Here is a 27,100-nt window from a genome sequence, read left to right on the forward strand (position 1 = left end):
AGTAACAGCTTCCCAAACCTAGAGAACTATATCAATATTCAAATGCAAGAAGATTGTAGAACACCAAGTAGATTTAAACCAAAGGTATTTAATAATCAAACTCCCAAAAGTCAAGGATGAAGAAAAAATTCTGAAGGCAGAAGGAGAAAAGAAACAAATAACATATAAGGAGCTCCCGTATATCTTGGAGCAGACTTTTCAGTGGAAACATTATAAGCCAGGAGAGAGGGGCATGGCATATTTAAAGAACTGAAGGAAAAAAAACTTTCATCCCAGAATAGTATATCCAGGGAAAATATTCTGAGGTCAGGAGTTTCAGACCAGCCTGGCCAACATGGTGAAAACCCATCACTAGTAAAAATACAAAAATTAGTCGGGTGTGGTGGCACCCATCTGTAATCCCAGCTACTCAGGAGGCTGAGGCAGGAGAATCACTTGACCCAGAAGGTGGAGGTTGCAGTGAGCTGAGATCACGCCACTGCACTCCAGCCTGGGTGACAGAGTGAGACTCTGTCTCAAAAACATAATAATAGGAATAATAAAGGAAAAGTGCAAAAATTCAAACAACTTAACAGAAACTGGGCAAAAGAGCTGAACCGGCCCTCCACAGAAGAGGAAATGTGGAGGAACGGCTAATGAAAACATGAAGAGGGGCTCAGCCTAACGGGGGAGATATCACGTGACACTCACCAGACGGGCAAAAATCTCACAACCCAATCCATGCCAGCGTTGGGGAGAATGGTGAGAAGCAGGAACACCAGGCACTGCTAACGCTTGTGAAGTATATTTCTGCTATGCTTGTATATGAAAGAGTGTGTGTTGTGGGTTATGAGGAAAATTACATTTCTTACCTGGGATGAAATTTTAAAACTTGAAAGCTACTGACCAGAAGAAACTTGCGCTTGTGTACAAAAGAAATGCCCAAGAACGTTCCCAACAAAACACAGTCCTAAGGGCCCCAACCTGGCCAAACACTCATCCACGGGAAGATGAAGACATTTCCCATGCTCCCCTCAGACGACGGGAGACCATGCAGCAATGAAAATGAGCCATGTCAGTGTGGGTGGGTCTCAGGGAGAGAATGGAGGACAAAAATAGACACAGAGCAGGTGCTCAGAGCCATGCAGTGTAGGAGCAGCCATGCAGGAGAATTCCCTCACGTCAAAGTTCAAAACTACAGCCGAGGCAACAGAGCAAGACCCTGCCTCAGAAAGAAAACAGAAAGTTCAAAAACTAAATGGCTTATTTTTTAGGGATGTACACACACGGTGAAAGAAATGTACTATGAAGGAAAGTGTGCAAATAATAAAGACTAAAGCAAGAAGTGATTCCCTCCGTAGGAGAAGGGAAGGGACTGGGACTCAGGCAGGGCCTCCAGGGAGCATCCAAAGTTATGTCTCTTCAGATTCTACTCCCTAAACTTGGTGGAGGTCCTCTGTGTCCAATGTGTCAATATTCTTTATACCTTACCCATACTGTAAAAACGCTTTATTTCTATTCAATATTTAGAAGACAGTTATAAACAGGATGCATTCAATAGCAAGGTGGCAGATGAACATCAGGAAGGAACATCCATGAGCTTCCATCCACGGAACCTCACCATGGATACGCTTGTGATCAAGGGCCTGGTCTCCCCTCAAGACACGGTCACAGATCAGAGGGCACACCATCCTAGCAGTGGAGCAGGACCAGCTGGGACAGGGTCCTTCTGTGACACCTGCTGCATCACCAGGCTGGGTGAACGGACACAATTGCCAGAACTCACAGAATAGAAGTATCAGCACCGAAACCTCACAGGAAAAATGGTAAGTTCTAAGTTTCTCCATTAATAGTAACTCTCAGATTAATCTCTGTCATCCATCGCTTCTCCAAGAAATGACTTTTTAGGGTGATGTGCCAGGCGCCATGTTGGAGGGCTGGTGGTAGCGGCTTGGGGAGGTGCTCACTCTGTCGGTCTCACTCTCTCACACGCTTCCCCGGCTCCCTTCGTTCCCCCCCACCCCACTTGGCCTGCGTGCTGGAGGGTGTGCGAGGGAGTGGGAGGACGTCGGGGGGTGGGGGGAGGCGTTCCGGTCCCCAAGAGACCCGCGGAGGGAGGCGGAGGCTGTGAGGGACTCCGGGAAGCCATGGACGTCGACAGGCTCCAGGAGGCGCTGGAAGATTTTGAGAAGAGGCAAAAAAGAAAGTCTGTCCTGTCCTGGATCAGTTCCTTTTGTCATGTAGCCAAGACTGGAGAAACAGATTCAGTGGTCCCAATTTAAAGGCTATTTTATTTTCAAACTGGAGAAAGTGATGGATGATTTCAGAACTTCAGCTCCTGCGCCAAGAGGTCCTCCCAACCCTAAAGTCGAATATATTCCCTTTGATGAAACAAAGGGAAGAATACTGAAAACTGTCACTGGATTTAACCGTATCCCTTTTACTATTCAGCGATTATGTGAATTGTTAACAGATCCAAGGAGAAACTATACAGGAACAGACAAATTTCTCAGAGGAGTAGAAAAGAACGTGATGGTTGTTAGCTGTGTTTATCCTTCTTCAGAGAAAAACAATTCCAATAGTTTAAATCGAATGAATGGTGTGATGTTTCCTGGAAATGCACCAAGCTATACTGAGAGGTCTAATATAAATGGGCCTGGGACACCCAGGCCACGTAATCGACCAAAGGTTTCTCTGTCAGCCCCATGACAACAAATGGGTGGCCTGAGAGCACAGACAGCAAAGAGGCAAATTTGCAGCAAAATGAAGAGAAAACTCACAGTGACTCTTCGACATCTGAATCAGAAGTTTCCTCAGTGAGCCCTTTGAGAAATAAACATCCAGATGAAGATGCTGTGGAAGCTGAGGGGTATGAGGTAAAAAGACTCAGGTTTGACAAAAAGGCGAAGTCGGAGAAACAGCCAGTCAAGAGACTTGCAGCGAAATTTCTTCAGTTATGGTAGAAGAAACAGAAGCATCACCTTCATCTCATGATAAAGACAAAGAAAGCTGTGGTACCCGGCAGCGTGTTCAGAAGAGGATGAAGAAGATGAAGAGGAAGAAGAAGGGACTGAGAGACCATCTGTAAAAGGGAGGAGTAAGGAGATCCTCAAATTCTTGCATTCATTGTTTTCGTGAAAGAACTGTACGTCATGGAACTCCTTGTAATGCCGACGCTGGGCTTTTCTCCCACCTGTATGCAGTTGCTGCTGAATTTCAGGGGATGTGATTTGAACTACAGAGCATCAGAATTCATGAAACTTAACTGTGGAGGTATTTTGAAAACAAAATTTAAGTACAACAACATTTGCTTAGTTTTAGAGTCTTTTATGACATCAAGAGAAATGATCCCAGAAAGAAATAAACAAGAAAAAGAATCTGATGATGCCTCAACTGTGAATGAAGAGACTTCTGAGGAAAATAATGAAATGGAGGAATCTGATGTGTCTCAAGCTGAGAAAGATTTACTACATTCTGAAGGTAGTGAAAACGAAGGCCCTGAAAGTAGTGGTTCTTCTGACTGCCGTGAAACAGAAGAATTAGTAGGATCCAATTCCAGTAAAACTGGAGAGATTCTTTCAGAATCATCCATGGAAAATGATGACGAAGCCACAGAAGTCACCGATGAACCACTGGAACAAGACTATTTAGAAACATATACATGCAGTATTTTACACACAGTTCTGGTTTTAACACTGTGTAAAACTTTTATGTAAAAACGTGCACCTTTAGTTTTACAAGAAAAGCAGGTTGTAAAATAAAGTACTTTATGGATAATTCCTGAAAGAGTTGTCCATGTAAGAACTGTGAATATCAGCTCCTCTGGGTCCTGCTTACCTTACCGCTGATTTCTCTTTCTTTCTTTCTTTCTTTTTTTGGTCTGGGCAAATCAGTGGTTTGTATATAGAAGTTTTTTTTTTAATTTAGGACTGAAGTCTTTAAACTGGAAAGTAATTATAATTTTGAACAGTTTTTTGAGATTATCACATTTAGTTTATACATATGCAAGAAGCTTTTTGTCTTGTGTCTTTCTGATAGCTCTAGCAGTTTTCATATTTTGGTCATAGTTTCAACATTTTAACATGTGAATAATAGAGTTTCATGCTGGTTTCCAGATTGTATTGTTCGGCTACATACAATAGAACCTTAAGTTTTATATATATGTATATATTATTCTAAGGGGGAAAATGTTATATTTTTCTGTTGGTATAAGAGATAAATACAGTGGATACTTTTTCTATTGGTAATGATTGAATTCACCTCTTTCAGAAGACATTTTCTTTCTCTTCTGAGTAACTGAAATAAAATCTGGCCTTTGTGAAACCCTGGAAATACCACAACCCTCAACTAGAAACACCAATACCAGCTCCTCCGCGAGTTTCCAGCTCCACAACCTAAGACATCAGAGGCAGCATTGGTTCCTCACGTAGAGTCCAGCTCCGGGACCCTCATATTTGAACCGCAGGGCCATCTCATCCCTGGATCTCCAGCTGCACCACACTCAAATTAGAACAACATCAGTTCCTCCCCAGGTCTCCACCTGCACAGCCCTCGAAAGGGAACATCAGCTCCTCCCCGGGTCTCCAGCTGTAGGTCCCTAAAACTAGAACATCAGCTCCCGCCTGGGTCGCCAGCAGCACCACCCTCAAACTGGAACATCAGATCCCCATGGGTCTCCAGCTGCAGGGCCCTCAAACTGGAACATCAGCTCCCCCACCAGATCTCCAGCTGCACGGACCTCAAACTGGAACATCAGCTCCCCGCCGGGTCTCCAGGTGCACTGCCTGCAAACTGGAACATGAGCTCCCTGCCGGGTCCCCAGCTGCATGGCCCTCAAACTGGAACATCAGCTCCCCACCAGATCGCCAGCTGCACGACCCTCAAACTGGAATATCAGCTCCACCCCGGGGCTCCAGGTGCACAGCCCTCAACTTGCAACATCAGCTCCCCACCGGGTCTCCAGCTGCACGGCTCTCAAACAGGAACATCTGCTCCCCACAGGGTCTCCAGCTGCACGGCTCTCAAACAGGAACATCAGCTCCCCACAGGGTCTCCAGCTGCACGGTCCTCAACCTGCAACACTGGCTCCCCACCAGGTCTCCAGATGCACGGCCCTCAAACTGCAACATCAGTTCCCCCCGGGTCTCCAGCTACACCGCGTCAACCTGGAACATCAGCTCCCCGCCGGGTCTCCAGCTCCACGGCCCTCAAACTGCAACACTGGCTCCTCACCGGGTCTCCAGATGCACGGCCCTCAAACTGGAACATCAACTCCCCACCGGGTATACAGCTGCATGGCCTTAAACTGGAACATTAGCTCCCCGCCCAGGTCTCCAGATGCACGGCCCTCAAACTGGAACATCAGTTCCCCGCCAGGTCTCCAGCTGCACGGCCCTCAAACTGGAACATCAGCTTCCCGCCGGGTCTCCAGGTGCACGGCCCTCAAACTGCAACATCAGCTCCCTGCTGGGTATCCAGCTGCACAGCCCTCAAACTGGAACATCAGCTCCCCGCCAGGTCTCCAGGTGCACGGCCCTCAAATTGGAACATCAGCTCCCCGCTAGGTCTCCAGGAGCACGGGCCTCAAACTGGAACATCAGCTCCCTGCCAGGTCACCAGCTGCATGGCCCTCAAACTGGAACATCACCTCCCCGCCAGGTCTCCAGCTGCATGGCCCTCAAATTGCAACATCAGCTCCCATCAGAGTCTCCAGCTGCATGGCCATCAAACTGGAACATCAGCTCCCCCGCGGGTCTCCAGCTGCACAGACCTCAAACTTGGACATCAGCTCCCCGCCGGGTCATCAACTGCACGGCCCTCAAACTGGAACATCAGCTCCACCCTTGGGTCTCCAGCAGCACGGCCCTACAACTGGACCATCAGCTTCCCCCCGGGTCTCCAGCTGCACAGCCCTACAACCGGAACATCAGCTCCCTGCCGGGTCTCCAGCTGCACAGCCCTCAAACTGGAACATCAGATCCCCACTGGGTTCAAACTATTCCAGTTTGAGGGCCGTGCAGCTGGAGACCCGGCGGGGAGCTGATGTTCCAGTCTGAGGGCCGTGCAGCTGGAGACCTGGTGGGGAGCTGAAGTTCCAGTCTGAGGGCCATGCAGCTGGATACCCGGTGGGGAGCTGAAGTTCCAGTTTGAGGGCCGTGAAGCTGGAGACCCGGTGGGGAGCTGAAGTTCCAGTTTGAGGGCCGTGCAGCTGGAGACCCGGCGGGGAGCTGATGTTCCAGTCTGAGGGCCGTGCCGCTGGATACCCGGTGGGGAGCTGAAGTTCCAGTCTGAGGGCCGTGCAGCTGGATACCCGGTGGGGAGCTGAAGTTCCAGTTTGAGGGCCGTGAAGCTGGAGACCCGGTGGGGAGCTGAAGTTCCAGTTTGAGGGCCGTGAAGCTGGAGACCCGGTGGGGAGCTGATGTTCCAGTTTGAGGGCCGCGCAGCTGGAGACTCGGGGGTAGCCGATGTTGCAGTTTGAGGGCCGTGCAGCTGGAGACCCGGGTGGGAACCAATGTTCCAGTTTGGGAGCCATGCAGCTGGAGGCACTGCGGGGAGCAGATGTTCCAGTTTGATGTTCCTCCCTGGGTCTCCAGGTGCACGGCCATCAAACTGGAACATCAGCTCCCCGGCCCTCAAACCAGAACATCAGCTCCCCGCCGGATCTCCACCTGCACAGCCGTCAACATCAGCTCCTCCCCGAGTCCTCAGCTGCACGACCCTCAAGTTAGAACATCAGCTTCTCCCCAAGTCTTCAGCTGCGTGACCCTCAATCTAGAACATCAGTTCCTCTCCGGGTCTGCAGCTGCAAGACCCTCAATCTAGAACGTCAGCTCCTCCCTGAGTCTCCAGCTGAAAGACCCTCAAAACAAACAACATCAGCTCCTCCCCGAGTCTTCAGCTGCACGACGCTCAATCTACAACATCAGCTCCTGTCTGGTTCTCCAGCTGCACGACCCTCAAACTACAACCTCAGCTCTTCCCCGAGTCTTCTGCTGTATGACCCTCATCTAGAACATAAGCTCCTCTCTGGGTGTCCACCTGTAGGGAACTCAAATTAGAACGTCAGCTCCTCCCAGAGTCTTCAGCTGCATGACCCTCAATCTTTAACATCAGCTCCTCTCCGGGTCTGCAGCTCCATGACCCTAAAAATACATCAGCAGCTCCTCCCTGAATCTTCAGCTGTACGACCCTCAAACTACAACATCAGCTCCTGTCTGCATCTCTAGCTGCACGGCCCTCAAACTAGAATATCAGCTCCTCCCCGAGTCTTCACCTGCACGACCCTCAAACTAGAACATCAGCTCCTGTACAGATTTCCAACTGTAGGGCCCTCAAACTAGAACATCAGCTCCTCCCCAAGTCAGCAGCTGCAAGACCCTCAAATTACCACCTTAGCTCCTCCTGGAGTCTTCAGCTGCACGACCCTCAATCTCGAAGATCAGATACTCTCCGGGTCTTCAGCTGTAGGGCCCTCAAACTATAACATCAGCTCCTCTCTGAGTATTCAGCTGCACGACCCTCAATCTCGAACATCAACTCCTCTTCAGGTGTGCAGCTGTAGGGCCCTCAATCTAGAACATCAGCTCCTCCCTGAGCCTTCTGCTGCATGACCCTCAAACTAGAATCTCAGCTCCTCCCGAGTCTTCAGCTGCATGACCCTCAAACTAGAACCTCAGCTCCTCCCTGAGTCTTCAGCTGCATGACCCTTAATCTAGAACATCAGCTCCTCCCCGAGTCTTCAGCTGCATGACCCTCAATCTAGAACATCAGCTCCTCTCCAGGTTTGCAGCTGCAAGACCCTCAAACTAGAACATCAGCTCCTCTCCAGGTCTGCAGCTGCAAGACCCTCAAACTAGAACATCAGTTCTCCTACAGTTCTGCAGCTGCAAGACCCTCCATGTAGAACATCAGCTCCTCACCGAGTCTTCACCTGCATGACCCTCAAACTAGAACATCAGCTCCTCTCCACGTCTCCAGCTGCATGACCCTCAAAGTAGAACATCAGCTCCTCTCCGGCTCTGCAGCTCCAAGATCCTCAAACTAGAACATCAGCTCCTCTCCAGGTCTGCAGCTGCAAGACCATCAATCTAGAACATCAGCTCCTCTCCAAGTGTGCAGCTGCACGAGTCTCAATCTAGAACATTGGCTCCTCTCCAGGTGTACAGCTGCACGACTCTCAATCTAGAACATCAGCTCCTCTCCAGGTCTGCAGCTACAAGAACCTCAAACTAGAACATCAGCTCCTCTCCAGGTCTCCAGCTGCATGACCCTCAAACTAGAACATCAGCTCCTCTCCGGGTCTGCAGCTCCACGACCCTCAATCTAGAACATCAGCTCCTCCCCGGGTCTTCAGCTGCACGACCCTCAAACTAGAACATCAGCTCCTCCCTGGGTCTGCAGCTGGAAGATCCACTAACTAGAACATCAAATCCTGTCTGGGTCTCCAGCTCCATGACCCTCAATCAAGATTATCAGCTCCTCCCTGAGTCCCCAGCTGAAAGACCCTCAACGCGAACAACATCAGCTCCTCCTGAAGTCCTCAACTGCATGACCCTCAAACTACAACATCAGCTCCTCCCCGAGTCTTCAGCTGCATGACCCTCTATCTAGAACATCAGCTCCTCTCCAGGTCTGCAGCTGCAAGAACCTAAAATTAGAACATCAGCTCCTCTCTGGGTCTGCAGCTGGAAGATCCACTAGCTAGAACATCAGCTCCTGTCCGGGTCTCCAGCTCCGTGAACCTCAATCAAGATTGTCAGCTCCTCCCTGAGTCTCCAGCTGAAAGACCCTCAACGCGAACAACATCAGCTCCTCCCGAAGTCCTCAACTGCATGACCCTCCAACTACAACATCAGCTCCACCCCGAGTCTTCAGCTGCAGGACCCTCAATCTAGAACATCAGCTCCTCTACAGGTCTGCAGCTGCACGACCCTCAATCTAGAACATCAGCTCCTCTACAGGTCTGCAGTTGCAAGACCCTCAAATGAGAACATCAGCTCCTCTCCGGATCTGCAGCTGCTAGACACTCAAACTAGAACATCAACTTCTGTCCAGGTCTCCAGTTCCGTGACCCTAAATCTAGAACATCAGCTCCTCCCTGAGTCTCCAACTGAAAGACCCTCAATGCGAACAACTAAAGCTCCTCCCCAAGTCTTCAGCTGCACGACCCTCAATCTAGAACATCAGCTCCTCTACAGGTCTGCAGCTGCAAGATCCTCAAACTAGAACATCAGCTCCTCCCCGAGTCTTCAGCTGCATGACCCTCAATCTAGAACATCAGCTCCTCTCCGGGTCTGCAGCTGCAAGAACCTAAAACTAGAACATTACCTTCTCTCCAGGGCTCCAGTTCTATGACCCTAATTCTAGAACATCAGCTCCTCCCTGAGTCTCCAACTGAAAGACCCTCAACGCGAACAACATCAGCTCCTCCCCAAGTCTTCAGCTGCAAGACCCTCAAACTAGAACATCAGCTCCTCTACAGGTCTTCAGCTGCACGACCCTCAAACTAGAACATCAGCTCCTCCCCGGGTCTGCAGGTGCAAGACCCTCAATCTAGAACATCAGCTCCTCTCCGGGTCTGCAGCTGGGAGACCCTCAATCTAGAACATCAGCTCCTCTCCGGGTCTGCAGCTGCATGACCCTCAATCTAGAACATCAGCTCCTCTCCAGGTCTGCACCTGGGAGACCCTCAAACTAGAACATCAGCTCCTCCCCGGGTCTGCAGGTGCACGAACCTCAATCTAGAACATCAGCTCCTCTCCGGGTCTGCAGCTGCATGACACTCAATCTAGAACATCAGCTCCTCCCCGAGTCTGCAGGTGCACGACCCTCAATCTAGAACATCAGCTCCTCTCCGGGTCTGCAGCTGCATGACCCTCAATCTAGAACATCAGCACCTCTCCGGGTCTGCAGCTGCATGACCCTCAATCTAGAACATCAGCTCCTCTCCGGGTCTGCAGCTGCATGACCCTCAATCTAGAACATCAGCTCCTCTCCAGGTCTGCAGCTGGGAGACCCTCAAACTAGAACATCAGCTCCTCCCCGGGTCTGCAGGTGCACGACCCTCAATCTAGAACATCAGCTCCTCTCCAGGTCTGCAGCTGCACGACCCTCAATCTAGAACATCAGCTCCTCTCCAGGTCTGCAGCTGCATGACACTCAAACTACAACATCAGCTCCTCTCCGGGTCTGCAGCTGCATGACACTCAAACTAGAACATCAGCTCCTCCCCGGATCTGCAGCTGCAGGACCCTCAAGGTAGAATATCAGCTCTTCCCCGAGCTAAAACACCTCTCCCACCTGGATCTCCAGCTCCACGAGTCTCACAGAACAGCCACACTGGCTCCTTCATTGTCTTCAGCTCCACAACCTAAGACATCAGTGGGAGCACCGGCTCCTCCCTGGACCTCCAGCTCAACGAATCTCATAGACTTAAAAGGCAGCACCTGCTCCTCCCCAAGGCTCCATCTCCACCACCCTCAGATTTGAACAGCGGTAGCACCACCTCCTCTCCAGGTCTTCAGCCCCACGTCCCTCCCTGAACAATCCCTTCTCATGAAATTCAGCAGTCAAGAAATCTGCAGCGGAAGTAAATGAATAAATGTTTTGTTTTCAAATCGATACCTCTTTTATGTTCATGAGTTAACTTTTCTACTTTCCATTAGCCTTGCAATCTACTTATGTCCAATGTGAAACAGAAACACACCATTTGAAATCACGTTTAAAAACTTAGTAGTTTTTCAATAAAATCATCACACAGCTGTAGACACGATCTTATTTCTCTCTGCCTGTGCAGAAGTCTTATGAAAATTCAAACTATGAATTTACTTTGTTGAGATTCCCAGAATACACATTAATCCCAACTGTTACTCCCCTCCTTAAAATCTTTTAACACATTCCCATCACCTGAGCATAAATGCCAGCTCCCATCCACAGCCCAAAGTGCCCAGCACGGCCCTGCCCTCTGCCCTGGTCTATGGTCTCCCCTCTTAAATGCCAGCACCATCCACAGCCCACAGTGCCCAGCACGGCCCTGCCCTCTGCCCTGCCCTCTGCTGTGGCCTAAGGTCTCTCCCCTGTGCCATTCCCTTCCTGACGGACAGGCCTCTGTCCGTTCCTCAAACCACACAGGCTCAGGCCTGACTCCAGGCCTTTGCACTTCTGTGCCCTCTGCCTAGGGTGCCTTTCCCGGGCTCTGCATCCTCCTCTCAACCCGCTGAGCTCCAGCCTGCTGGTCGCCCCTCAGGTGGATGAACACACGGTGTCCTCTCGCCCCACCAGCTTTTGCACAGGCTCTTCTCTGTGCCAGACACACACCCTCTCTATCGGGGTTTACTCTCTAAATACCATTCATCCTTGGAGTCTCCACTGAAATATCGCTCCCTGCCCACCCCCCTCACTTGGACTTAACCTTGGTTAGGTTGCCAACCCCCGTCTCCTGACTCCGGGAAGCTAGATGCTCTCCTAGCACTCGGAACTTGCCCATCGCCACATTTGCACACCCCTGGTTACTGGGTTAGGTTGGCGCACAAGTCATCGCGGGTTTTGCCATTACTATTAATGAACGGCAGCAATGGCTCCTCCCCGTTTCTTTTTTTTTTTTTTTTTTGCCATTACTTTTAATGACTGCTGCACCAACCTATTAGAATCATTTATATTTATCCATCCATCATGTGTCTTCCCCTCTAGAAAGGAAGCTCCATGAGAATAGAGGCCAAATCTACTCAAATCACTCCACCTTCCCAGCACATTGTTTGTCAATAATCATTTACCAACTGACTGATAGAGAAATGCCTTCCCTGTTGCTGGGATGAGGCACATGACACGCCCCTTTGAAAGTCAATTCCATGGACAGTTAGCATTTGCTCTTCACTACTGCACCTGTGGCATGGCTGGGCTTAGGCTGATCTAGTCTGGCCTTGACTCCAGGCTAAGGATGGGAACCATGCCTGCTCCACACGCCTCTCATCCCACAGCCAGAGCCGCCGTTCCCTGGAGCACGCACATCTCGTGGGGAAAATCAAGAGCCTTAGAGGGCAGGCCTGGCAGTGCCCACAGATTCCAGGCTTCTGCTTGTACCGTGTCTGTGAAAATCTCATTGGCAGAAGCAAGTCACCCAGCCACGAGCAACACCTATGGGATGGATAAGTCCATCCACCCTCCCTCGGGCCCTGGCAAGGTTGTGGCTATGTCATACTCTTACGGGGGGAGTGAAAAATTGATGCGCAACATTAAATCACCCAGGCAAGAAATGTCAGCCTCTGTCCTCGCGCTGGAATCATTCTTCACCACCGGGTTTGCCTGAATTCCCTTTGCAATGGTGTCTGCAGGTTTAGCCCAATGCTGGTCCCCGTGGAGGACAGAGAAGCCTCAATGGGCCTCCGTCTGTTGGGAAGAACAAGATATTAGCTTGGCGCAAAACCACCGCAAGCCCCAGGGGGCCCTTGCGCCATGAGACAGGAGAGGGGCAGAGAACTGTGGGAGCTCAGGAAAGCTCACATCCCCAGCCCCTCCCGTGCATCCCCAGCCCCTCCACTGTGACCCCAGCACCAACCCTCTCCCCTGCTTGCCCCATCTCTGCTTTCTTTTTTTCATTTTCTTTCTTTCCTTGTTTTTGAGACAGGGTCTGGCTGTGTCACTCAGGCTGGAGTGCAATGGCACGATCTCAGCTTACTGCAACCTTCACCTCCTGGGCTGAAGCAATTCTCCCTCCTCAGCCTCCCCAGTGGCTGGGACTACAGGTGCACGCCACCATACCCAGCTAATTTTTTTTTTTTTTGGTAGAGACAGGATTTGCCATGTTGCCCAGGCTGGTCTCAAATTCCTGAGCTCAAGTAATCCTCCCACCTCAGCCTCGCAAAGTGCTGGGATTACAGGCATGAGCCACCGAGTCCAACCTACTTTATTTTTCTCTACAGTACTTGGAACCTTCTAATGTACTAAGGACACGTGTATTTTCTTTCTTTTTTGTCTTCCCTAGAACAGGAGCTTAATGTGGGCAGGTATTTTTGTTGATCTCATTTATCACCCTCTCCCCAGTTCCTGGAACAGGGTCTGGCACATGAATGGTGTGTTCTAAATAAATATTTTTAATAGATAAAAAAATGAAATATCCTACAAGAGAAAGCTATATCTGGAACTCACCCATCAACAGAACCTAAAGGACAAAGACCTTTAGCCTGTCTCTGCCTCTGAACACACCCAACCCCGGAGGAGCCAGCAGAGGAAAAAGAGGACAAAGGCGGGGAAGGGAGCAGGTGGTGCCCACCAAGTAAGGAACCCTGAGGCTTAGGCGGAACCTGAGCTGGAGAAGGGACTCATCTAGGAACTGGGTATGAGATTAAAGTTTAGATTGGTCTGGCCTGGATTTTGTAACACCTAAACAAGAGTTATTCTATTCTTTTTTTGTGTTTTTTTTTTTGAGATGGAGTCTCACTGTCCCCCAGGCTGGAGTGCAGTGGCGCTATCTCAGCTCACTGCAACCTCTGCCTCCCAGGTTCAAGTGATTCTCACGCCTCAGCCTCCCGAGTAGCTGGGATTACAGGCGCACAACACCATTCCCGGCTAATTTTGTATTTTTAGTAGAGATAGAGTTTCACCATGTTGGCCCCCTGGCTCACGCCTGTAATCCCAGCACTTTGGGAGGCCGAGGTGGGCGGATCATGAGGTCAGGAGATTGAGACCATCCTGGCTAACACAGTGAAACCCCATCTCTATTAAAAATACAAAAAATTAGCTGGGCGTGGTGGCAGGTGCCTGTAGTGCCAGCTACTCAGGAGGCTGAGGCAGGAGAATCGCTTGAACTCCAGATGCAGAGGTTGCAGTGAGCCAAGATCAATGCCATTGCACTCCAGCCTGGGTGACAGGGCGAGCCTCCATCTCAAAAACAAACAAACAAACAAACAAAAAACCTTCAAACGAATCTAAGAATTATTATTTTTTAAAGTACAACTTTAAAAATGCCCCTTACAAATACAACAGTGTTATATTAAGGCAAACCCACTTCAGAAGCACAAAGTTAATTTCTTATAATTCCAATAAATATGTGAATGTTAAAAAAACCCAAACACCCGAAAAGGGATCAAACTCAAGATAGTTTGTAACATTTTATTGCAAAAAGAAGGGCAGAGAACAGTCTTCTTCATACCTGTTCACCACAGTAATTTTTAGCGGCTCTCCTGTGCAAAGAAGTCTCATCAATGAACCAGCGTACGGGCCACAAATACCTTCTCAGTGCGGTTTCACCTACAATACAAGCACTCAGAAGCACAAATTTAACTGAAGTGAGAAACCAGGCCATTTTGTAGCTTCAGTTTTTCTACCAGTAATATATTAATTTCTTGAAATAGCCTAATAATTTAGTTCTACTATCAAAACAGAAGCCCAATCTGGGAGAACAATTATTATACAAGTCAAACTAATTTCAATCATATTAGTATAGGAATTCATATTAGTATAGGCTAATAATTCATATTAGTAGAGGCGGGAGGATCGCTTGAGCCTAGGAGTTTGAGACCAGCCTGGGCAAGACAGTGAGACTCCATCTCTAATTCTTTTTTTTAAATAAAGAAATTCAGAGAGGAGAAGGAAGCGGACTGATATGTGTCTATCCAAGGACAAATTTTGTGTGCCTGTACATACAACACAACTATGAACCTTCCTTCACGCAGCTCACAATCTAGTAGCGAGAAGAAACTACGAAAACATGAGCCCCCACGGTGAGGAAAAAGGCGCATATCAGAGAAAAGAAAAATGCTGCGATGATCCAATGGCAGGAGCAGCGCGCATCCACTTTCTTTGTTTTTTTGAGATGGGGTTTCGCTCTGTCTCCCAGGCTGGAGTGCCGTGGCTTGATCTCAGCTCAATGCAGCCTCAACCTCCCAGGCTGAAGTGATCTTCCCATCTCAGCCTCCCAAGTAGCTGGAACTACAGGCGTGCACCACTACACGTTTACTTTTTGTAGAAACAGGGTCTCACAATGTTGCCAAGGCTGGCATCCTGAAGGGCGGGTGGGGCTTCATCCTACAGAGATGAAAGGCAGAAGCTCAGAGCCCAAAGCAAAGGGGTGGAGGACAAGGGCATCTTCAGAACAGAGTGGCTCGGCTGAGACATCCAGTAGGATGCCACCAGGCAGAGGTGTGGTGGAAAAACACAGGGCCACAGGGTGAATGGTCACATGTCAGGAGCAAACCACCACAGAACATGACAGAAACACGGTGTACTAAATCAGGCTTCAAATCGCAGCCCTGCAACTTCAGAGCTACCACAGGTAACCCAGAAAGGGAGCATGGACAGCACCACCCACTGCCTGAGGCTATGAGATGGACCAGAAACCTGTGCTTACTACCAGCCTGCCTTATTCCAGAAGGAATTCAGGAAACACAAAGACACTCACAGTACAGCAAAATAAAGTAAATGTGAATCATGTTGGCTGAGGAGAAACGGAAGAGTCTAAGACTATGTCATAAAGTTTACCTCTACTCTAAACTCTCATTACTGGCGAGCCACCAATCTGACTTTAAGTTCTCTAGCAGCTAAACTGAAGAGGAAAATGTAATCAGGTAAAGGTTTATAAGATGCAAACAAAACAGGACAGCCACCACAGTTGCTGAGAACACGCGCAGCTCCAGCTCCAGGAGAAACAGGGTGGCCATCTCCTGGGGCTGCCCCGCAGCAGGTGTGTCAGCCCCAAAGCCAGCGTCTCTCAGGGTAAACGGTGACTACGGGCTTCATGGGGCCACATGCCTCCAACACAAGCTGAGGAAATCTCCCAGGGCAATTCAAGGAACAGGGTCTCACAATGTTGCCCAGGCTGGTCTCAAACGATCCCCCTGCCTCGGCCTCCCAAGGTGTTGGGAGGTCAGACGTGAGCCACTGCATCTGGCCCCGCATGCACTTTATAGAGGAGGGCTTTGCATCCTGTACGGCGGGTGGGGCTTCATCCTGCAGAGATGAAAGGCAGAGGAAGCTCAGAGCCCAAGGTAAAGGGGGGCGCCTAACAAAAGCGACTCCATTGGGACCACGGTGAGAGGGTCCCCATACACAGCTTGGGTTAAGCCAGACACTGATTTCAAAGTATCTCAGGAATGGTGGACTCAGCACCTGTCAGGCAATTCTCTCTCTCAAGCAGGCTCCTGGTAGATATTTAGTAGCAGCTGAAATCAAGATTATGTTCTGACTGACACTTGCTGAGGGTTAAAGAGCTATATACGCTTTGAGGACCAGCTGAACTTGGGCAGGACTAACACCCTCTGGTGAAAATACGGGAACCCAAACACACGAGTCAGAGCAGGAGGTGTCTCCCCCACCCCCAAACAATAACGCTGACCTTGGATTTGGGTTAAGTGCCTAGCCCAGGGGTGTGAGTGTTCAGGAAGTGGAAACCATCATCACCATCATCAGGTAATGGAAAACCATCAAAGCTTTGAGCTGGCTTGTTAGCCAAGAATAGTAGTAGTGTATTAGCTACTACTAATACTCACAGCTGACAATTACTGAGCACTTGCTCCGTGCCAGGAATCACGGGAAGCACCTCACATGCATTTCCTCAATTCTCCCTCCCAGTAATGGCGAGGACACAAAACTGGTAGAGCCAGGACTGGAATCCAGGCAGGCCCCAAAGCACTCCAGTGGAGCCTGCCAAGGTGTGCAGGCTACCATGCTAATGAGGTCCAGTATTTGACCACCACTCCTAGTTGAGCAAGTTTAACAGAAAACCTAAAACTAAACTTAAAATCTAAAAATTTGAGCAAATGCATAAAAAGCAGGCTCTTAAAATGGATCATAAATCTTGCATCACTTGCTGGAAAACCACTCAAAATACACATCTCTGAGACATGGCCTCTGAGGAGGGCACTCCATGTGGCTCGTATCACCCTGGTGACAAACCACGTGAACCTGGGTGGTCACCTGACCATATTGAACAGACGATGCACAGAGCCATTTGCATCCACTGTGGTCAACATTTAGGAAGTTTTAAGCTAAGATTTGCCAAATTGTAGCCTACTGGATTCCGGTTCTCTTGACATCTCTTTCTAGTAGCCATGTCTTGCACTTCCCGAGTATAAACGAACTGAGATGCAAATAAAAAAAAGGAGGATTTAAGAATAATGAAAAGAGAAAAATCAAGAAAGCACAATCACTAGTGTAGAGATAACAGAATTTCTGAATTCCCTGAAAACAATCTATATAAATGCATGTGAAATAATACACCAGCATCTGTGGCCCATACGTCACATATTAGGAACTGATAACATAAGGTAAACATGTTACTCTGAAAACACAAATCCTCACAAATCATTAGGCAGTAAGACTGAATCCAGCACCTCCCCCACCCACAGCGCAGTGAGGCAGTGTCTAGCAGCCGTAGTGCTCCCCGCGCCCCAGTTCAGTCTCTGGCAACATCAGATACTTCCCACTAATAACGAGGAGCCTTTCAACATTTTCACATCTCAAAACTGACCCCTTTTCTAGCTTAAATGGCACGGATCTGGAAAGGCAAACTATACTCAGAATCAGAAAAGATGACTGCCCCTGAGGGATTACAGAAAAAGCAGCAGTCAGGTGTTCAATGAAGTAAAATGTATCCAATGATAGCTCAGGGGAGGGGGATCAATTGAGCTGAAACTGGCAAGAACGTAACTCCAGGGAGCTCACAACACGCAAGGACCCGGATTTCCCGCTGCCTGAACGCCCACTATTCGCACACTGATAAGAACGCCTCCCCATAACTCCCCTGCCAGCGCCTCCAACACCCCCAATCCTTTCCCCAGGAACCCAGTCCCAGTTTCTGCAGTTCCTGTAACAGCCACGTTCCCACACAAGTGCTGCCTGAGCTCCCCAAGCCCTCCAACAATCACCCCCCAGTGCCCTCGAAGGTCTATTCAGAGAAGTCACCAAGATGCAGTCACCCAGGAAATTCAAGGACCCCCAACTTACCAAAAGGCTTTCGGCTGGACAGAGCTAACCTTCCTATTCCCCTCCTAAACCTACAACCTAGTTTTCATTTCTCAAGAAGCCTTTCCCTGTGCTCACGCACGCCGTTGTTAGCTGGCTCGGTGAGGCACTCCAAGCAGTAACAGCGGTAGCCACAGAATAAACCAGAAGCATCTCCACCATGAAGCAGTAATAATAATTTGCCCTAATGATTCCTTTGTCCTTGGAAAATCAACTTCAGAAAGAAAGTTATCCACTGTGAGCAGGGCAGGCTCGCGGCTTCTTGGTCCGGAGACCCAGGTCCCACTGGCCCACTCACCCTTGGAGAGAGCTTGCCGAAGCTGGGTGTCCGATATCACTCCACTCCTCTCTATCAACCCTATAACATCAAGAAGACCAAACAAGCTGGCGATCGAAAGTTCAGGAAAAGCAAAACAAACGTCTCCTGTCAACCCTGCACCGACTCTGGAAGGCTCCCTCCTGGAACCTCCGCCTCTCCGGTCCCGCTGACGAGTACAGCGGAATCAAGGAAGTGCCCCAGGAGCCACGTCCAAGTGTGTTCTTCCCCTAAGAGGCCAATCATCTTTCTCTCTCTTTTCCCACCTCAATCCTTCCCTTCCTTCCCCTCCTGACCTGTCTGAATTCCCATTTGCACCAGTTTCCCTTTTTCACAGACAAGACAAGATTCCCTCAGATAACTAAGCCATTCCCTGGCCATGAGTTACTACAGTTTCGGTCATTCATTCAGTGGAAAAGCGACCAGGGACAGAAGGCGCCGCCATAAAGGTCACCTGGCCCGAGCAGACGCCAGGTCGCTGCTTCTTCCTTGGCTGCTGACATTTTAACAGCGGCCCAGACAGTCTGTTTCCGCTTTCCCCAAACAAGCACCCTGGAGACCCTCCCCCGACGGCTCGAGGCGAGAAACGGGGCCTGGCCCAGGAGCCGGTGGCCGCGACCTCGGGTATGCAGTGGCGCCCTCTGCACCTTGGGAAGCGCCCGACGCACAGGACAGGGACCGGGCAGGAGGCAGGGGCGGCCCCAGGAGACCGGGCAGCGGACGGGGGAGACCGCGGGGGACCCGGAAGGGGATGGGGGCGGCCGCGGGGGTCGGGGCAGGGGATGGGGGCGGCCGCGTCGGTCGGGGTAGGGTTCGGGGGCGCCCGCGGGGGTCCGGGCAGGGGCGGTGGAGACGGCGGAGGTCGGGGCAGGGGACGGGGGAGGCCGCTGGGGACCCGGCAGGTGACGGGGGAGGCCGCGGGGCAACCGGCAGGGAACGGGGTTGGCCGCGGGGGTCGGGACACGGGTCCGGGGCAGCTGCGGGGGAGGCGGGAGGTGCCGGGGCGGTGCCAGGTGGCAGCTCTGGAAGACGTTCCACAGGAAGCTCTGGTCGGGCAGCGCCGCGCCCGCAGCAGGCCCAGGGCCGCCCAAGGCCGGGGCGGTAGGAGTAGGCGGCCAAGGGCCAAGGCGCGCGGCTGGGCTGAGGCGCGTGCGGCGACTGGCGACCTCAGAGCGACACCACTTCCGCCTCTGCCGGGGCAGGGCCAGGCGTTACCGCCGCTTCCGGGGGCGCAGGAAATGCGCGTTGTCCGAGATCCTCCGGCGCAGGCCACCTGCGCGCGGGGCCGGGAAGGCGCTTGGAGGAAATGTCCCGCGCCGCGACCCGGGACAGGCAGTGATGGAGCAGGGATTTCGTTTGCCTTTTAGTTCTTGTATAAAAAGAAGTTTTGACGTGAATGTGATTCACGCTAACAGTCGGAAACTCTGGGCGGGGCGCGGTAGCTCACACCTGGGATCCCTGCGCTTTGGGGGGCGGAGGCGGGCGGAGCTCTTGAGCCCAGCAGTGCGGACCAGCCTGGGCAGCGGGGCTAGACCCCATCCCTACAAAAATTACAGCAAGTAGTCGGGCGTGGTGGGCTCCTGTGGTCCCATGTACTCCGTGGGCTGAGGCGGGAGGATCGCCTGAGCCCGGGAGGTCGAGGCCGCAGGGAGCCGAGATCACTGCAGCTCCAGCCCGGTGGACAGCGAGACTCTGCAAAAAAAAAAAAAAAAAAAAAAAAAAGCAAGCAGGCCGGGTGCGGTGGCTGACGCGTGTAATCCCAGCACTTTGGGAGGCCGAGGCCGGTGGATCACCTGAAGTCAGGAGTTCGAGACCAACCTGGCCAATATGGAGAAACCCAGTATCTACTAAAAATACAAAATTAGCCGGGCGTGGTGGCGCACGCCTGTAATCCCAGCTACTCGGGACGCTGAGGCAGGAGAATTGCTTGAACCCGGGAGGCGGAGGTTGCGGTGAGCCGAGATCAGGCCATTGCACTCCAGGCCTGGGCAACAAGAGCAAAACTCCGTCTCAAAAAAAAAAAAAAGGGCAAAACACAATTCGGGTGGGAAGGGCAGTGTGCAGCGTTCTCCGTTGTCTGTTCTGCCCCGAAAAGCTTCCCCCCTTTAGGTTTAACCTGCGCCCCCGCGCTCTGCATCAGCGCCGCCCCCGACCCCGTGCAGTTGGAAACACTGGGCGCCTCCCTGCCGGGCCCCTTCCCGCCCCTGTGGTGGTGCAGCCCTGCCTCCCGCAAGACAGCACTGCCTTCGTGCTGGACACAGTTCTACCGTGGAGCCTGGAGTGCCTGTAGCACAAATCCCCAGAATTGGGAAGTGCCCAGCTTTGGGCCACTGTGATCCCTGGGTCTTTCCTGTGCGCGTAGTCTCATGCCGCCTTCCACCCTAGTCCTGTGTCCTGTGCCCCGGTTCAGGATACTACAATTATTCTCATTATTTCATGGGGTTATTCCAGCTTTTCAGGTTCTTCAGTGCCTCATTCCATGAATGCTAACTTTTTTCATCCTCATAGTTCCTAGGGTTGTCTCTGAATTTTCACCCAGTTGCCTACCAAGATGTTGTCTGTGTCTACTGCAGGGGACGGTGCAGGTCTGAATATCTTACAGCTCACCTTTTTGGTGCCTTTGATCCGTGTTAGAAATTATCCACATCTTCTCTCTGGGCAATATTCTACTTTTTATATTGACCCAATTATTTTACTTCTTTGGTGTGTCTTTTCTCCTAACACATATGGGTTCACTTTGAAACCTTGAAACCCACATTTACAAAAACATTTTCAATATGAAGCATTGTTCCATGACTCTTTACTGGAGTACCATCAACATTTACATTTCCAGACCACCCACTGCCCAGTGGTTTTCTTGGTCTCAGTACTCATGAAAACGGTCTGAAGGTTTGTTTTGGGTTCCTAAGTAGTAGACACACGCACAACATTGCCTGTCAGTTATTTCTTGGAAACTAAATCAGCCCTTCTGTTGCCATCCTATCATGCTTCAGGGGTGCCTGTGCTAGTTTTTAATTATTTGTCCTAACACTTAAATGTTTGCTCAAACGCCCATATTAATACTTCCTCTGAGTTTACAAAAGGATTTACTTTCTTACTGGTTGGGATGAAGCTGCCTGAGGTTGCCACCTGTTATTTTTCCTTCATTTATTGGACCATGTCATCCCATTACATGTCAGCCGTGGAGGTTTTCAAACTGTGGTCCCTGGACATGTTAGAAATGCAAATTCTCAGGCCGAACCAGGACTGAATAGGAAGATCTGGGGTAGGGTCCCTCCAGGACTGAATCGGAAGATCTGGGGTGGGGTCCCCCAGGACTGAATCAGAATATCATGGGTGGGGTCCCCCCCAGGACTGAATCAGAAGATCGGGGATGGGGTCCCCTCCAGGACTGAATCGGAAGGTATGGGGTGGGGTCCCCCCAGGACTGAATCGGAAGATCTGGGGTGGGGTTCCCCCAGGACTGAATTGCAAGATCATGGGTGGGGTCCCCCAGCACTGAATCAGGAAATCTGGGGTAGGGTCCCCCCAGGACTGAATCGGAAGGTCATGGGTGGGGACCCTCAGGACTGAATCAGAAGATCTGGGGTAGCGTCCCCCCAGGACTGAATCGGAAGATCTGGGGTGGGGTCCCCCCAGGACTCAATTGCAAGATCATGGGTGGGGTCCCCCAGGACTGAATCAGGAAATCTGGGGTAGGGTCCCCCCAGGACTGAATCGGAAGGTCATGGGTGGGGACCCTCAGGACTGAATCGGAAGATCTGGGGTAGCATCCCCCCAGGACTGAATCGGAAGATCTGGGGTAGGGTCCCCCCAGGACTGAATCGGAAGATCTGGGGTAGGGTCCCCCCAGGACTGAATCGGAAGATCTGGGGTAGCGTCCACCCAGGACTGAATAGAAAGATCTGGGGTGGGGTCCCCCAGGACTGAATCGGAAGATCTGGGGTAGGGTCCCTACAGGACAAAATCGGAAGATCTGGGGTAGGGTCCCCCCAGGACTGAATCGGAAGATCTGGGGTGGGGTCCCCCAGGACTGAATCAGATCACGGGTGGGGTCCCGCCAGGACTGAATCGGAAGATCTAGGGTAGGGTCCCCCCAGGACTGAATCGGAAGGTCTGGGGTAGGGTCCCTCCAGGTGATCCTGTTACACAGGTTAGAGAACCACGGCATTAGGGGTGGGAATTTGACAATTCTTTTTTTTTTTTTTTTTTTTTTGAGACAGAGTCTCGCTCTTGTTGCCCAGGCTACAGTGCAGTGGCGCACTCTTGGCTCACTGCAACCTCCATCTCCCAGGTTCAAGCAACTCTCCTGCCTCAGCCTCTCGAGTAACTGGGATTACAGGCACCCACCATCATGCCTGGTTAATTTTTTGTATTTTTAGAGATGGGGTTTCACTATGTTGGTCAGGCTGAGACAATTCTTAAACTGTCATTCTTTACTCACTTATTTGCAGGAATTCTTATGTAAAGAACTTTCCCTAATCAACAAGGTTTCCCTGAATTGCAATTTGTAGAGAAAAGACAGGATAATTGCTGATCTTCCTTCAAGTGTCCATTCCCAGTGTTAGGAGTTAGTGCCCTAGGTACCTCCAAGAGTGACCAATTACATGTGTTTGGTTGGTTTTGGCTTTGAAACCACCACTATGAATTCATGGTTTTCATGTATTAGAGACCACTTTCTAGGTGCTTGATGTGTCTACTGCTACTGGGGCAGAGGTAGAAAATGTGTATACGGTAAAAGAACAACAAATGAGTTCACGCTTATATTTCTATTTCAAATTTAGTATACGGTTTTACACCTTTTTCTCAGAAAAATCTTGTTTTATTTTTTGAGATAGAGTTTTGTTCCTGTTGCCCAGGCTGGAGTGCAGTGGCACAATCTCGGCTCACTGCAATCTCTGCCTCCTGTTTCAAGCGATTCTCCTGCTTCAGCCTCCCCAACAGCTGGGATTACAGGCACCTGCCACCATGCCCAGCTAATTTTTCAATTTTAGTAGAGATGGCGTTTCACCATGTTGGCCAGGCTGGTCTCAAACTCCTGACCTCAGGTCATCTGCCCACCTCGGCCTCCCAAAGTGCTGGGACTTGGGAGGATTTTCCCTTGCCAGAAAAATCTTAGTTTTAGCATTAACATAATTAGTTATTAGCTTTAACTCCCACCCCACATAATTTCAAAGGATTAATACCAATAAGACGAGTAATGGAGATGATTGATTGAAATTTAGGATTCAGTGGCTCTATTTGTCTTTAGACTATGGCTCACTAAATCTGCACACTTGAAGTGCTGTGTTCTAGCGATCCTCTGATGACACATGAGGTAATAGGCTGCGTGACTGTCACCAGCCTGATGTGCAGTTGGGCTGCAGAACCCCGTGATGCTGCCTAGCCCAGCCAGCCCCAGGTCACTCCTCAGACTCAAACTCGATTCTGACACCACCAGCACCTGGGACGCTGCCTAGGGGCTTTCTCTGGTGGCAGGAGCACGTCCTGGAGCAGGCCAGGGGTGCCCGGAATTGACCATCCTAAACCTGTGGAGTGTGGGCTGGTGAAGGAACACACCAGCTCCCACAGTGAGCACGGGCCCAGCTGCCCACATGGGACCCAGCTCCCGGACGCCGCATGCCACCGCCTCTTTCCTGTCTCACCTCCCACTTCCCTTCAGCTGCTGCTCAGGGCCACCTTCCAAATTTTGGTCTCACGGTTGGAGCCTGTAGAATGCAATCCAAGGAATTTAGATTCATTCATTTCAGATACCATTCTTTCAATTTTAGGGACTATCTTAAAAACTTAGTTTGGTAATATGTAAAACACTTAACAATTTCAAAGTCCAGATATTACTTCAGAGTCTATTTCGGTCTCACTTCCACCACTGACCCCTATCCTCCACAGCAACCACTTTAGACTTTTATCTTTGTACTGTTTTAAGAAAAAGCAATATATATTTGCATCATATGATATGTACTCTGCCCCTTATCAATAGGCGTTCCTCATTCCTCCTTCTGGTACGGAGTTCCCCACTGCACGAATTAATGTTCCCAATCCCCTACTGATGGACATTTTGATTGTTTCCAGTTTTACAAATGCCACAGTGAAGAACTTTGTGGCAAACACATTCAGGCTGTGAAAAGAACTCTGTGGGTAAAGTCCTTTCATTTCTTTGCCAGAGTTTTTTTTGAGGCAGATTCTAGAATTGCTGAGTCTAAGGGCAAATGCCATGTCATTTTGTTAGATGCTGCCAAATCCTCTTCCATGAGGCTGCAACGTTCTGCATTCCACAGTGACTATGAGAGTCCTTGTACCCCACAGCTTCATAAACAAAGCATGACAGCAAACCTGCACGTTTACCCATCACACAGTTGAGAAATTTTATCTACTTTCACCTTTTTTTTTGGTTAGCATTTTTATTCCCAGCTTTTTTGTGGTATAATGCGCAGAAGGTAATGAACACATTCTACCTGCAAGCTTCTTCCTGTGCCTTTGGAATCTGCTCCTGCCAGTCTGCAGGGAACCACGGATCTGCTTTCCGTCACGTAGGAGGCATTCTCGACACCCTCTGTACACAGCATGCGCTTTATTTGGCTTCTCTTACGCAGCGTAGTGACTTTCAGATTTATTCAAGCTGCTGCGTGCGCCAACAGTCCACTCCTTCCTAGTGCTGAGGCCCCCATCACATGAGCACAACTGTTTCTTGTGTGTGATGTGTTGTTCTCTGGCTGTGCACTGCCAAAAAAGACATCATTAAAAAAAATTTAAATATAATGTAAGACCTGCCTTGTCTTAGGAAACGTTTTTCTGGCAGTGGCTCACACCTATAATCCCAATACTCTGGGAGGCTGAGGCAGGAGGACTGCTTGAGCCCAGGAGTTTGGGACCAGCCTGGGCAAGAGGGTGAAACCCTGTCTCTAAAAATTAGCCAGGCATGGTGGCTCACACCTGTAGTCTCAGCTCTTAGGGAGGTTGAGGTGGGAGGACTGCTGGAGCCCAGGAGGTGGAGGCTGCAGTGAGCCGAGATCACACCACTGCACTCCAGCCTGGGCAGCATGGCAAAACTCTGTCTCTACCAAGAAAAAAACAAAAAATTAACAGAAGGAAAAACAAAAGGGCTTTCTTATCAAAAATACACTTTAAGGAACAAATTTATCATATTAAGTTGGTGCAAAAGTAATCGTGGCTTTTACCATTGAAAGCAATAGCAAAAACCGCAATTACTTTTGCACCAACCTAATATTATTTTCTAATGACAAACTTGGAAATAACTGTCATTGTTCTCTAAAAAGAACAGCCTAAAAATAAAGCAGCAGCCCATTTACTTCTATGCCAGTTCTTTTAGCATTTGGTTATTTAAACCGGCAGTCCCTAACCTTTTTGGCACCAGGGACTGGTTTCACGGAAGACACTTTTTCCACTGACAAGTGTGGGGATGGTTTGGAGACGAAACGGTTCCATCTCAGATCATCAGTATTAGATTCTCATAAGCGGGGCATAACCTAGATCCTTCGCATGCGCAGTTCACGACAGGATTCCACTCCTATGAGAATCTAATGCCACCACTGATCTGACAGGAGGCGAGGCTCACACAGCAATGATATGACAGGGGGCGGAGCTCACACAGCAATGATATGACAGGGGGCGGAGCTCACACAGTAATGATATGACAGGGGGCGGAGCTCACACAGTAATGATATGACGGGGGCGGAGCTCACACAGTAATGCTCTGGCAGGGGGCAGAGCTCACAGTAATGCTCTGACGGGGGCGGAGCTCACACAGTAATGATGACGGGGGCGGAGCTCACACAGTATTGATGACAGGGGGCAGAGCTCACAGTAATGCTCTGGCAGGGGGGCGGAGCTCACACAGTAATGCTCTGGCAGGGGGCGGAGCTCACAGTAATGCTCTGACGGGGGCGGAGCTCACACAGTAATGATGATGGGGGCGGAGCTCACACAGTAATGATGACAGGGGGCAGAGCTCACAGTAATGCTCTGGCAGGGGGCGGAGCTCACAGTAATGCTCTGGCAGGGGGCGGAGCTCAGTAATGATCTGATGGGGGCAGGGCTCACACAGTAATGCTGACAATGGGTGGAGCTCACACAGTAATGCTCTGGCAGGGGGCGGAGCTCACAGTAATGCTCTGGCAGGGGGCGGAGCTCACACAGTAATGCTCCGGCCGGGGGAGGAGCTCACACAGTAATGATATGACAGGGGGCGGAGCTCACACAGTAATGATATGACAGGGGGTGGAGCTCACACAGTAATGATATGACGGGGCGGAGCTCACATAGTAATGATCACAGGGGGCGGAGCTCACACAGTAATGCTCTGCCAGGGGGCGGAGCTCACACAGTAATGCTCTGGCAGGGGACGGAGCTCACACAGTAATACTCTGGCAGGGGACGGAGCTCACACAGTAATGCTCTGGCAGGGGGCGGAGCTCAGTAATGTTCTGGCAGGGGGCGGAGCTCACACAGTAATGCTCTGACAGGGGGCGGAGCTCACACAGTAATGCTCTGACAGGGGGCGGAGCTCACAGTAATGCTCTGACAGGGGGCGGAGCTCACACAGTAATGCTCTGACAGGGGGCGGAGCTCACACAGTAATGCTCTGACAGGGGGCGGAGCTCACACAGTAATGCTCTGGCAGGGGGTGGAGCTCACAGTAATGCTCTGGCAGGGGGCGGAGCGCACACAGTAATGCTCTGACAGGGGGCGGAGCTCACACAGTAATGCTCTGACGGGGCGGAGCTCACACAGTAATGCTCTGGCAGGGGGTGCAGCTCACAGTAATGCTCTGGCAGGGGGCGGAGCTCACACAGTAATGCTCTGACATGGGGTGGAGCTCACACAGTAATC

At 50.5% G+C, this 27,100-nt stretch overlaps 1 long non-coding RNA gene and 3 pseudogenes across 17 annotated transcripts in view, besides 6 other annotated features; 2 read left to right on the plus strand and 2 right to left on the minus strand.

Moving 5' to 3' along the window:
• The window catches only part of LOC124906253 (keratinocyte proline-rich protein-like), a 41,447-nt gene extending 22,037 nt beyond the window's left edge, over window positions 1-19,410 (minus strand). Inside the window, exons 1-5 of one of the 15 annotated variants that reach the window (NR_197445.1) lie at window positions 18,705-19,410; window positions 18,233-18,292; window positions 15,778-15,921; window positions 14,956-15,000; window positions 14,126-14,223 (exon numbers count right to left, since the gene is read on the minus strand). This is a non-coding gene — a long non-coding RNA (keratinocyte proline-rich protein-like). Of the gene's footprint in view, window positions 1-1,473; window positions 3,623-12,208; window positions 12,364-14,071 lie in introns of those variants that run through there. The other 14 variants (NR_197456.1, NR_197455.1, NR_197453.1 and 11 more) reach the window with 14 other exon arrangements.
• On the plus strand, window positions 1,631-10,352 carry LOC124906254 (mucin-5AC-like; annotated as a pseudogene). The gene is made up of 5 exons (XR_007096250.1): window positions 1,631-1,805; window positions 4,249-5,277; window positions 5,709-5,873; window positions 6,573-6,679; window positions 10,291-10,352. The product of XR_007096250.1 is annotated as a mucin-5AC-like, transcript variant X1 (transcript).
• LOC100133326 (serine/threonine-protein phosphatase 4 regulatory subunit 2-like) lies at window positions 1,900-2,240 on the plus strand (annotated as a pseudogene).
• Window positions 4,810-5,480: an enhancer, noted in NCBI's record as "H3K4me1 hESC enhancer chr3:195666797-195667467 (GRCh37/hg19 assembly coordinates)". NCBI's record gives its function as "activates a minimal SCP1, AML or CMV promoter by ChIP-STARR-seq in primed H9 embryonic stem cells {active_cell/tissue: H9 hESC(primed)}" and the evidence as "EXISTENCE:reporter gene assay evidence [ECO:0000049][PMID:30033119]".
• Window positions 5,481-6,150: an enhancer, noted in NCBI's record as "H3K4me1 hESC enhancer chr3:195667468-195668137 (GRCh37/hg19 assembly coordinates)". NCBI's record gives its function as "activates a minimal SCP1, AML or CMV promoter by ChIP-STARR-seq in primed H9 embryonic stem cells {active_cell/tissue: H9 hESC(primed)}" and the evidence as "EXISTENCE:reporter gene assay evidence [ECO:0000049][PMID:30033119]".
• Window positions 19,211-19,350: a silencer, noted in NCBI's record as "silent region_15047". NCBI's record gives its function as "represses an Ori minimal core promoter by ATAC-STARR-seq in GM12878 lymphoblastoid cells {active_cell/tissue: GM12878}" and the evidence as "EXISTENCE:reporter gene assay evidence [ECO:0000049][PMID:35858748]".
• Window positions 20,304-20,955: an enhancer, noted in NCBI's record as "H3K4me1 hESC enhancer chr3:195682291-195682942 (GRCh37/hg19 assembly coordinates)". NCBI's record gives its function as "activates a minimal SCP1, AML or CMV promoter by ChIP-STARR-seq in primed H9 embryonic stem cells {active_cell/tissue: H9 hESC(primed)}" and the evidence as "EXISTENCE:reporter gene assay evidence [ECO:0000049][PMID:30033119]".
• The window catches only part of SDHAP1 (SDHA pseudogene 1), a 30,359-nt pseudogene continuing 28,063 nt past the window's right edge, over window positions 24,805-27,100 (minus strand). Inside the window, exon 17 of the transcript NR_003264.2 lies at window positions 24,805-24,970. The product of NR_003264.2 is annotated as an SDHA pseudogene 1 (transcript). The remainder of the gene's footprint in view (window positions 24,971-27,100) is intronic.
• Window positions 26,147-26,196: an enhancer, noted in NCBI's record as "active region_21064". NCBI's record gives its function as "activates an Ori minimal core promoter by ATAC-STARR-seq in GM12878 lymphoblastoid cells {active_cell/tissue: GM12878}" and the evidence as "EXISTENCE:reporter gene assay evidence [ECO:0000049][PMID:35858748]".
• Window positions 26,497-26,546: a silencer, noted in NCBI's record as "silent region_15048". NCBI's record gives its function as "represses an Ori minimal core promoter by ATAC-STARR-seq in GM12878 lymphoblastoid cells {active_cell/tissue: GM12878}" and the evidence as "EXISTENCE:reporter gene assay evidence [ECO:0000049][PMID:35858748]".

The sequence above is a fragment of the Homo sapiens genome, chromosome 3, assembly GCF_000001405.40.
Source record: "Homo sapiens chromosome 3, GRCh38.p14 Primary Assembly".
Lineage (NCBI taxonomy): Eukaryota > Metazoa > Chordata > Mammalia > Primates > Hominidae > Homo > Homo sapiens.